Source organism: Homo sapiens, chromosome 18 (assembly GCF_000001405.40).
Source record: "Homo sapiens chromosome 18, GRCh38.p14 Primary Assembly".
NCBI lineage: Eukaryota > Metazoa > Chordata > Mammalia > Primates > Hominidae > Homo > Homo sapiens.
In genome coordinates this window covers 33,827,262-33,839,962 of record NC_000018.10, presented here as the reverse complement: position 1 = coordinate 33,839,962, position 12,701 = coordinate 33,827,262, and the positions used below count along the sequence as shown (strand labels likewise).

Genomic DNA, 12,701 nt, shown 5'->3' with positions numbered 1-12,701 from the left:
CAACATCTGAATATAGACTGTAATGCATAGCAAAATTTGTCTTGCTTATTTGCCAACGGTGGAAAATTCTTTTTTGAAATCCTTGGAAGCATTCTAGAGGAGAACTGGGGTAGGTGTTGATTTATTGCAATGCGGTATTTTGAAAATTATCACAATATCTCTTTAGGGGATTCAGTGGAAGAAACCAGGATCATATACACCACGAAAAAAAAACCCAGCTTTTTAATTACTTAAACAGCAACTCGAAATGAGCATGATACTCCTCCTCATTTAACCCCTTAGAAGTGTGAGTTCACAGATTGCTACATCCTGCCCTCTACTGGAAGAGAGAGTAATGACAAACAGGGACTAGCAAAAGAGCACTGAAGCTTTTTTTTTTTTACCAAGAAACACAATTTTTCTTTTTGCTGGAGTAAATTACATGTTACAACTGCTCTTCCCTGCCCCACATTCCTTTCTACTTCCAGAGTAAATAAATAGCAAAGCAAGTGGAGTACAAGATGGCTACCAGTAAAATAAAGAGAAAAGCAAACCTATATATAGGACACGTTTTGAAAACAAAATTAATCTTTTATTTCTGTAGAAGTATTTTTAAAGTGTGATTTGTTTAATAATTAACTCTGCACCTCAGTTCTTATCATCTGACACTCTGTTGAAGAATATAATTGGAAAGGCTATCTAAGTTAAACTTCTAAAAATTAAACTTCTGAAAATTAGAGATAGCATATATTCATATTTACTTGTATTAACTCATATTTAGTGCAATATCTTTAACTTTTAATTCATAGAGTAAATGTCATGTCTGATATAATAAATATAATAATAAAATATATAAAGTCCCTGATTTTAAAAATGCATATTGTATAAGATACTAAGTTTCTTTTATAGAGAAGACTGATTAGTTACACCTGACCTTAATGTTTTCTTCTGGCCTCATGTGTCCCTTCCAGTTTCACAACTCACCCTACCAAACCTCACGTGTATGTCAAGATAAAGCAAGCTATCCCTACCCCATTACCCTGCGCTTACTTAGATAAGAACACCATCCTATAAACCAGCATACTGACCTCTACCAGTATATAATTTTTTTCTTTAATCAACAATATGCCCTACATCTTTTAAAGCATTAGCTAAATAAGCCAACTATACACTGATTTGAAGCAGGTGCTTCCAAAATCTCGCTTAAAACATCTAATATGAGCAAGACAGGTTAACTGAGATATCTTCCAGTACCTTTAAATTCTGACCCTGTGCTAAGTTCCAACACCACAAAACAAAGTGTCTATGTCTCCGAACTGTAGGTTAATGCTCTCTCTCTAAAGGAGTAACAAAAGAATTTGCTTGTAAAGAATGTATCATTTCTTTGGGAAAACCAGCATCATATTTTTGATTTCCATGTTTCCATTACATTACCAAGTCCACGGCTCTACCAAGTAAGGTTATCTTAGAATCAGGGCAAGGAAAAGCTTTTATCTATTGGTGAACTCTTAGTAGATAGCAAGAAGAACCATTATGGTTAATAGCATAAACCATAGAGTCACATTGCCTAAATTCAGATTCCAACTCTCTCTTGTACCATGTTACCTTGAGCTAGTTATGTTAACTTCCTTTGTCTTAGTTTCCTCATCTGTAAAATGTGGGTGTCAATAGTACCTGCCTCATAGGGCAATTGTGAAAGTAAAAGAAGTTCATATGTTAAAAAGTCCCTTGGAACCAGACTTGGCACACAGCCTTTGAGAGATGTCAGCTGCAACCCAAATTTGTTTCTGCATCCTACCCTGTTGACAGAAGGCTCAGAGCTACATGTCAATTCTTTCGCTGTAACTGATTCCAGACACCTGCTTCTTCTTTCTCTCTCTTCCTCAATTTACTTATTTATTATAATTGCTCTGTTTCATATCATTTTTATTAATATAAGCTGATGAACTATTTTAAGGAAATGAACAAGAATGAAATTATTTATTAGGTGGACTAAACTGAACTTGGCCTCTTTGGTCAATTATTTCAGTCCAGATTACTTAATTTTCTGCTTTATAAAATACTCCTAAATTAGGTCACATCAATTTCAGAAAGCACGTCTTAGAATATGACATCTTCCATGTGCAAGAAAATCCAGAATTTAAAAAAAAATCTTGTCTTCATATGAGACTTCTTGGATGACATATAGGTGTTAACGGTTTAATACATGCATATAAAGAGGTACCTCTTAACATGTCAAATATGTTGATAGGTTTCCATGCTCATTAAGACTCACATGGATAAGGAATGGAGCAAAGAGCAGCTATACTCTACTGGCACTGTGCTGGGAATAATTTGAAATCAAGCTTCTCTTCTGCAAAGCCCAATTCTAGTTAAAAGGTGCAAGAGGGAAATCAGTACAGAGTGCAAGTTCATCAGAACAGGTTGATCTGGTTTGCTGGAGACTCTTAGAAGCCTCCTGGGAGAAATGGGGATAAAAGTTGTTGAAATAGATAGATAACTCCAGGACTTAAGCTCTCAAACACAAATGATGAACAAAGACCAGCTTTACCTCCTGGAGAGTGCCTTCTCCAAATAAATGCAGGTAACTCATCAAAGCCTCTGCCCTGAGTACTTAATTGCTGGAGAGGGAACATTTGGGCTGCATAACAAAAAGCATTACTTTTATTTTCTCAGATCAGCCTTAAGAAAGTGTCCCAAGTTTCAAAGGGAAAGTACCTGAGACAGACATAGTAAGTTGATAAAGAGTTGTAATAAAAGAGGCATCAGAAATTGAGGCAACAAGGCTGTTTTATTGGAGATATTGAGTGGGGATGGCAATGGGATTAGTAATAGAGAAAGAAAGCAAAAAAGCATACATTATCCCTGTTGACTATCAGCAAACTGAATGTGGCTCAGAATACCAGTCAGGAATACCCACAGGGTAAGAAATGTGTTTTAAGAGTGGAAAGAAAAGAAAAATCAAGTCTTGGGATGCCAGTGGCTTCACTTTTGGTAGTTCAGAGACAAACTCTAATATTCTTTGTCAACTCAAAAATGATGAGGTTCATACATTTGGAAAGGAGAGCTTTAATTCTCATAAAGTGTTGCAGCCCCCAGGGTAGCCATTCTGACAGTCGGGGAAGTGTAGCCTCTGGCCAGAAGCCAGAAACAGATACACTGGGGCTCAGCCAACTAGAACAGGGATTTATGCTGAATGAGGTGGGCAAATATACATATTCAATCGTCTATAGAAGGAGTCATGAATATTTATGAATGGAGAAACATGTGAATGTACAACTGGGCTTCATGTCTCTACCAAGGGTAGAGTATTTGGCCCTCTGATGTCGAAAAGTGAAGCGGAAGAGAGGAAAGTTTTTGCTGTGCATCCTCTGAAGACTGGTCAGAACTACTGCTTCCTTGGTGGTCTCTTATCAAGAAGAAAGGCTGGTTGGTTAGTGTGCCAAAACTGCAAAAGGAGGGGCAGTAGCCAAGCGGTTGGTTGATATCCACAGTGGAATCTCTTGAAAAGGGCTGGTTTCTGCTTAGCTTTTAGGGAAGAAAACCTCATGTCAACTAGGGAGTGAGGGGAGATAACAAGGTGTGTGGGACTTCCCATTCTGTCATGGCCATGAACTCGGTTTTAAGGTTTTTCTTGTGTCCCTTCGGCCAAAGGTTGGTCGTTGGGGGCGGGGGGTCTGTATAGTTGGTCCTGGGGCTGATAATTTTATTTTTATTTATCATCCTTGTTATTTTTCCCTCTTCAGTGGTGAAAGCTGGAATGGTAAGTGCTATAAAGAGGGGTAAAAAAGATATGCCTCACAGGACTCATTTGTTAGAAGAAGAGGCAGTCTGCGATGTAAAGTCAGCAATCCCCACTTGTAAATGTTATTTGTGCCCCACACCACACTGAAGCAGGACTCAGTACCTCTTCTCACAACCCAGGAGGAAATCTCTAAAACCAAAATTTTAATTGTAATCATATTTTACAGTCTCATTTGGAATATGGGAACAAGGGGAAGTTAGATCACAGAATTACCGACAAAATACTTAAAAGTTTTAACCAGATATGCCTGTTTTTTTTTCATTCCTCTTTCCCTATACTATCAACAGTGTGGTTTTAATCTTCCTAACTTCACTAAATTTTGTCTCCTCTCTCCTGGATTTCCCTCTCAAACCTCAAGTGTCTCTACTATTTATGGATCGAACAATACCCTCAAGTCTGCGTCGCTACATCATCATCATCACCGTGATGATCCTCATGGTCATGACCATAGCAAACATTACTGTGTGTACTTTTGTATCCAATACTTGTCTAAAGATTGATTCACTTAATCCTCACAAACACTCAATAGGTTAGGTTTTATTTATATTGCGTAATTGAGGAAAGCATTGGAAGCAATAAAAATTTATAAATTCATATTTATTTATTTGTTTATTTTTATTTATTTATGTATTTGTTTTTTGAGACGGAGTCTCACTCTGTGGCCCAGGCAGGAGTACAATGGCACAATCTTGGCTCAAATACTAAAAATACAAAAAATTAGCCTGGTATGGTGGCATGCACCTGTACTCCCAGCTCCTCGGGAGGTTGAGGCAGGATAATCACTTGAACCCGCCTCGGCCTCCCAAAGTGTTGAGATTACAGGTGTGAGCCACCGTGCCTGGCCAAAAATTTATAAATTGATTTTTATACTACAAAATGTTAAGTAATAAAATAGTTATGGCACAGTACAACTGAAACTTCGAAAGTGTGGGACTCTTCAAGAAAGTATTTTCATGGAAAGTAAGCTGAGTTTTCACAGATGTAAGGAGTTCAACAAGGAAAACAGACACTGTCACTACAGGAAATGCATTGTTTAGGTTAACAATGGTAAGAAGTTTTATTGAAGGACAGATTATTTGAGGAAGAATGGTCAATGATATACCAAAACAACAAACAAACAACAACAAAAATTTGAGGCAAAATAATAAATTGGATTTTAATGCCAAATAAATAGATGTGGTCAATTTTAAGTAGCAGGAATTTAGAGATTTTCAGCACAAAAATTAGATAATCAAATTTATATTTTGGAAAATTCACCCAAAGTGATCAATGGAGGACAAATTGGAGGAGGTCAAAAAGTATGTGTAGGGTGGTGGTGCTGGATGCAAACATATTAGTTAGGCCACTATGATTGTTAAAACAACAGCTTTAATTTAATCCTCAATTCTAAATATCCAAAAGTATCTGCATTCCTTTTTTCAGGAAAGGCAAGTGATGGTAACAACCATTCCACCATTTCCTTAGGCTTTTCTTTTCTTTTTTTCTCCAGATTTTTCTTGTGTATTCTAAAAGAATGATATTATCAGAAACCATTCAAAGCCAATCCATTTCTTGCTTTGAATCTATTTTCCTCAGCTTAAAATTCCTAGACTTAGAGTCATTTATTCATTGATTAAGCAAATCCTTACTGGGTGTCTACTACCCAACAAGCATAAAAATGTATTCCTTCTGATTTTCTGCTCCTTTAAGATGGACTGTTACCTTTTGGGGAGGTCCAACCTCTTAAGATCTTGTGGAAAAGACAAGGTAAGAGGATGAATTGCTCATTGAGGGAAACCATCGCGTGAAAAGACTCAATATCTGTCTCTCTCTCTCTCTCTCACACACAGACACACAAACACACACACACACATTTAACGACCTCCTGAGATCCAGGAGGTTGGAGGGAAATATAACATGGACCACAGAGAAGCACATTGGAAGCTAGGCAAAGAGGTCATCTTGGGTAACCCCAAGCTCTAATGAAATAATGTGTATCCTGTAAACCACATAATCTTTCTGTGATAACCGTTTCCCTGTGTTATGCTCAAGTCTTCTGAAAATTCTTGTTTCAAAGTTCCAGTAGTCTCCATTAAGGGAGGATACCAGTTGTCTTATTTCCATACCTGGACTCTGTGATCAAAGAGAAGGAGTGCCCCCTTAAGGCCAGTGAGGTGAAGCAAGAATTAATTTAAAAAGTGAAACTTGTAGGAAAAAAGTTAATAATACTGTGTTGTTCACTTGAAATGTAATAAGAGAGCAGATTTTAAGTGACCTCACCACATACCTACACAGATACACACACCCATACTCACACAGTGGTAACTATGGGTGGTAATGAATGTGTTAATTTGATTGTAGTAATCATTACACAGTGTATACATGTATCAACTCATCATGTTGTACACCTTGAATATATACAACTTTCGTCAGTTAAAATGTTTTAAAATAATAAAAAAAACCCAAACAAATAAAATTCAAGACGGGGACTTCCAGTTTCAGCCCCAATATATAAAGAGCTTAGAAGTCACTCTTCCATACGTATAATAAGAAAAAGCTGGACAAACTGAAACTCAGTGACTTTCCTTGAACACATCAAAGAACTCAAGGCTAACTTCTACCCAGTAACCTGAAGAGAGAGGTAAACACAAGCCATCACTAAGACTCTTGCTTATCTGGAGCAGAACCATTCACATAAACTGGTAGAAATGCTTAAATGGGAATTTTGACAATTTTCTGACAGCTAAATGTGGACGACTGAACCAGTGAGAAATCCTAGGGCTTACACTCAGGAGAGGGCCCACCTTCAGGTATTTTCTCTCCAGTAGCCCCATTCAGCTATCATGGTGAAGATCCATGCAAGATCCCCAGATGTCTCAGGCAGGAAGAAAAGGAAGTTAACCATTGTGAAATAAACAGGGAGTTCTTCATAACAACAGTTTCCTCCTCAGGAGAAAAATCTTTACCAGAGACTTATCTCAACTGGGGAAAGGACATTCTTGCCATTTCACACCCCCATCCTTCCTCTCTCAATGAAAGAGTTGAGGGGGCTCTATACAGCTAGAGAAGAGTTGAGAGGGCACTATACAGCTTTGTGAAGATTAAAGCCCAGAGACAAAGGGCCACTAAAAGACTAAGATTTAATCTTAACATTAAAGAATGTTCCCCCCTCCCACCTAACTTTTATACCAATAGGGTTTCAGTACAACAGTAGAGTGCAGCTAAACAAACAACAGATAGACTTGTTATTCAAAGGAGGAGAACTTAAGAAACCCCAAATCAAGGAAAAAAAAAAAAAAGGCAAAGATACTAGAGGAGTTTTAAGCTTCTGATATCCACAGCTACAACAAACATTAAATGCAGCCCAACTTCTAGACAAATAATAAATCCTCACACTAAAAGCCTATTCACTTGAGTTCATGCTATGGACTGAATGTTTGTATCCCTCCAGAGTTAATATGTTGAAGCCCTAAACCTCAATGTGATGGTATTTGGAGGTGGCGCATTTGGGAGGTAATTAGGTCTTGAGGATGCAGTGCTCATAAATAAGATTAGCACCCTTATAAAAAGAGACACAAGTGAGATAATCTCACACTCCAACATGTGAGGATATGGCAAGAAGGTTCCTGTCTGCAAATCAAGAAGAGGGCCATCACCAGGAATCAAATCAGCTGGCACTTTGATCTCTTCCTTCCCAACCTTCAGAAATGTAAGAATTAAACTTTTGTTTTTTAAGCCACCCAGTCTATGTCATTTTTGTTATAGCAATCCAAATGTACTAAGGCAGTTCTTACTACCCAACAAAACATGTCTGGCTTTCAACAAAAAACTACAAGGCATGGAAAACACTAAGAAAAAACACAATCTGAAGAGACAAAACAAGCATCAGAACAAAACTCAGAGAACAAATCAGATAGTCTGATAGTTCAAACTATCAGACAGGGATTTTGTGTGTGTGTGTGTGTGTGTGTGTTTTGTTTTTTGTTTGTTTGTTTTGAGATGGAGTCTCACTCTGTCACCCAGGCTGGAGTGCAGTGGCGTGATCTCGGCTCACTGCAACCTCCGCCCCCTGGTTTCAAGTGATTCTCCAGCCTCAGCCTCTCAACTAGCTGGGACTACAGGCATATGTCACTGCGTCCAGCTAATTTTTCTATTTTTAGTAGAGATGGGGTTTCGCCATGTTGGCCAGGATGGTCTTGAACTTCTGACCTCAAGTGATCTGCCCGCCTCAGCCTCCCAAGGTGCTGGGATTGCAGGTGGGAGCCACCGTGCCTGGCCCAGACAGGGAGTTTAAAATAACTGTGATCAATATGTTAACAGCTCTAGTGGATAAAGAAAACAATATGAAAGATTAAATGCATAAGGTAAACAGAGATGTAGAAACTCTATAAAAGCATAAAAATTAATGCCAGATGTCAAAAAACTGTAAGAAAAATGGAAAAGTCTTTGATAGGCTTATCAGTCGACTGGACACAGATGAGGAAAGAAACAGTGAGCTTGAAGATTGGACAGACAAGATAATTTTCCAAAACTGACATACAAGGAGAAAAAACAATATTTTTTAAAAAGTCTAGGAAATGTGGACCAGTTTTAAAAGGTATAACATACATATAATTGGAGAATCAGAATGAGAGGAAAAATAACATGAAGCAGAAAAAGTATTTTTATTAATAATGACTTGAGACTTTCCAAAATTTATGACAGAAACTGAACCATAGATACATGTAGCTTGATACAAGCATATAAAAAAACACAGATTTATCAAAGAGGTAAATATTTTTATTTATTTATTTTTTGAGACGGAGTCTCGCTCTGTCACCCAAGCTGCAGTGCAGTGGTGTGGTCTCAGTAGTTCACTGCAAGCTCTGCCTCCCAGGTTCATGCCATTCTCCTGCCTCAGCCTCCCGAGTAGCTGGGACTACAGGTACCTGCCACCATGCCCAGCTAATTTTTTGTGTTTTTAGTAGAGATGGGGTTTCACCATGTTAGCCAGGATGGTCTCAATCTCCTGACCTTGTGATCCACCCACCTCGGCCTGCCAAAGTGCTGGGATTACAGGCATGAGCCACCACGCCTGGCCTAAATATTTTTTTTTTTAAAGCTACAGGTCGGTATATATATTAAAAATGTAAAAAGAAAAAACAAAGATAAAGACAAATTCTTGAAATAAGCCAGAGGAGGAAAATACAACCTTATCTATAGGGGAACAAGAATAATAAATTCTTGTCAGAACAATGTAAGCAAGAAGAGGGGAAGTAAAATATTTAAAGATTTTAAAGAAAAAATATCTCAACATATAATTCTATGTATAGCAAAACTATCTTTCAAAATCGAAGGATAAATGAAGACTGTTTTAGATAGAAAAACAAAAACAAAAACTGAGAGAAATCATTGCCAGCTGACTGTCCCTTTAAGAAATGTTAAAAGGAATTCCTCAACAAGGAGGAAGATGGCATAGGTCAGAAACTTGGATCTAGTTAAATAAAGGATGAGCATTGGAGAAGAGAACATGAAAGTCAAATATTTTAATTTTTTAGTTGATCAAAAGATAACTGTTTAAAATAATAACAGTAATAATGCATGAGGTGATTGATCACAACATATGGATAAATGAAATGAATACTAAGAGTGTTATAAGATTTAGAGAAGAGAACCAGAAATATGCTGTTACAAGGTAACTGCACTGCACAAAAAGAGATTATTATTTGAATGTGGACTTAGGTTAGTTAAAAATAGGATAGTCCTATGAATTTTTTTACTATGTTTACTCTAATGATATCATTCTAGTACTTTGGTCTTTACAATAAAAAGCGCCTTCTCTATCAGCATGTATGGGCATCAGCTTACAGTACCAGATATAATTTTGCATCCCATAGGAACTGATTTTTAATATAAATTATGGATCATATTAATTGTGTACCTAATGATTTCTCTTTCTTTTTTATTGTTCCCCAGAAAGCACTTTATGTCATGCCTTTGGGCACTAAACCACACTATCCTGAATTCATTTTATTTAAACTTAGTTTCCCCTTGCCTCATTGTTTCTTTGATTTCTTTTTCCATTTATTTTTATCATGCTATACTCTATGGATCTCTGTGAACTACTTTAAAACCTTTTTAAAATAAGATAAAGTAACACAAATAAATGAATCAGTATAGTTCCAAGTGTACTCTAGAGGAATATTTGTAGAAAAAATTATACTAATCACTTACAGTAAACCAAATGGCATTTATCCTTTTAATCACTAATGAAGTTATTTTTATAGCTGCCTCATTGTCTATGAACCACACTGAAAGAGCAATAATGTCACTATGGCTTTGTCATTCTTTGATACCGTTTCTTATGTCACATAGTCATTATAGTACTTGTCACTCTGAAAAGCATCAATTAATTGCCAGCAAAATAACAAGGATTATTATTGTGATGTGGTTTACACTCGTCATTTCACAGTCACACATAATCCTAGAGTTGGAATCTATTTCAAAGGAGCATTTGTTCCAGTCCTTGCCATCAACTGATGATTATTTGCAAAGGTCCCCAATTACAAAACCCCTGCAGGTTCTCCTAGTGCTGTTGAAGGATCTGTTTGCTTTATTCTTCCAATAAACATGGACTGAATATCAAATATTTTAATTTACAAAGAAAAATCTTTCCTTATCCACAGCAAACACTTCATTCTTCCTCAAAAAGCATTTAATAACATGATCTGCAAACTTTTTTTATTTCTAGGAGATGGTTATTAAAAGTCTTAGTCGAGGGCAAGGACAAGTAAAGTTGTAAAAAGCTATAAAAATTGAAGTCAGATAAGGCTCAGATCTCTCGGTAATTAACAGGCAACCTGAAAAGGCGCTGGTACAGTACCACTATATATGCATTGTATACATTCTTAAGCCATCATTCCAGATCCCCCTCAATTTCCACTAGGCTATATTAACAAATAAAGTCGGGTTTGCAAAGAGAGACAAATCTTAGTCCTAATGTGTTGACCTATGGGAATGTACGGTGATGCCTGCATTCTTTGCATGTGCCCTCTGCCACAAACCATGTAAGAGGAACTGGGTAAAAGAATCACTAATAAAGACTGAAGGTTCCTTAAAAATGGCATCTCATTCAAACTTGGGTGTCTATTTAAAAAAACCATCAGTTGTATCATCTCTAAGTGATGGGGGCCTCCTGGTTTGCCCCTGTGAGCTCATCCTCTCTTCCTTTGAGTACAGTATCAGCTCATTTTTCTATCTCCCCCACAAAAATTGTTTAAACCCTCTGAATTCAAGTATAAAATCACTTTCTAGTAAAATATATTTTAATGAAGATTTTTGAGGAGACAGAGGAGGCAAACAGCTGATTTCAAGGAGAGTCAATACAGTGAAGAGTGTTTAACAGATTTATTATTTCATTTTCACAGATTATCTTGTGGGACTGTTCTTCCATAAAACATATATTGGGCAATGTTGCACTAAACTCAAAATCAGCAGCAAGAGAATAATGCCCATTCACATCTCAGTATTACTACTTACTATTGTTTTAAGTTTTAATCAATGAACTAAGAACAAGAAAATAACCATAAGAAGCATAATTATTGGAAAGGTGATAAATTATTGTAGTCAGAGAAGCCATGACAATAAATTCCAAAACTCTAAGAATTAAGAAGAGAGCTCAGTGAACTCTACAGGCACAAGGAAAAGGCTCAACTATTAATAACTTCTGTGCATACAAGCAATAAAGAACTAAAGACTACAAAGTGAAAATATTTATTTATGGGGTATCAATAGAAAACATTAATTCATTTAGAACACCTCAGAGGAAAATATAGAGAACCCTTATGAAGAAGGCTGTGCAGCTTTGCTAAGAGATTTTTTTAATGCTTGAACAAAAGGAAGAATATGCCACATTACTGCAGAGGAAGACAATATTATAAAATGTTAAATCCTTCCAAATCAATTTATAGTATTAATGCAATTAAGATTAAAAATTTTTCTGAGTTTTTTTTGTCACCTGGAAAAAGTATTTTGAAGTCACCACAGCTGAATAAACAAGTAAGAGGAACAAATAAATTTTGGGGAAAAATTGAATAAACATTTTCACTATCAAATATCAATACAGATCACAATCTTTAATTATAATGTGGTAATGGCAAAAAGTCAACACATAGATTAATGAGATAAAATATATGAATCTCTGAAATAGTAATATATGTAATAGGCACAAATAACAAAAGATTCATCACAAATAAATTAAGAAATAATTTAATAGATGAGGTTGAGAAAATTGGTTAAATATATATACAAAAAATAAAGCAGACTCTTTCCTCACGTGATGAAACAAATAAATTCTGCAGAGTTTAAGAAAGGTACTTAAAGAGGAATAAAAGCATACAATTTTTAGGAGAAAATATTTGCCACTGGGATGGATCCTTCTCTACTTAAGACTTTTACACAGAGGAAAAATTTAATTAGCCTATATATAGAAGCAGCAGCAAGCTCCAGTATACTGTGGAAATTATCACATATATACATGAAAAGGAAATGAAATATAATTTGTCCTCTCATACTTGAGAATTCCAAAATCAAATCTTGTGTCCTACCTCTCTCCCTCTAACAGTTACACAAATTCTCACCTAGTGCTTGCTGTGCATCGGCTGTTTTTCTCTTACTCTGCACCAGCTTCCTTGCAGCTCTAATCCCAAATAACTTTAGTGAGCTTCCTCTATACATAACATACCTAAGAGCTCAAGTTCTTACAGGTGACCTGCAAAACATCTGTTTTGAATTTCTAGAAAGGGGGTCATATGACTTAGCTCATATTTTTTTGAGGCCAGTAACACTTATCCAGAGGGTGACATATTTTCTCATGTAAACCAGGACCATTTTGAGAGCAAAAGCATGCTCAGTTTGTGATTGGGGCTATCCCAAGCAAAAAGGGGCTAATGTTTCCCCT

At 36.5% G+C, this 12,701-nt stretch overlaps 1 annotated feature.

Annotated features, from left to right (window-relative positions):
* Positions 2,207-3,150: an enhancer, noted in NCBI's record as "OCT4-NANOG hESC enhancer chr18:31416777-31417720 (GRCh37/hg19 assembly coordinates)". NCBI's record gives its function as "activates a minimal SCP1, AML or CMV promoter by ChIP-STARR-seq in naive H9 embryonic stem cells {active_cell/tissue: H9 hESC(naive)}" and the evidence as "EXISTENCE:reporter gene assay evidence [ECO:0000049][PMID:30033119]".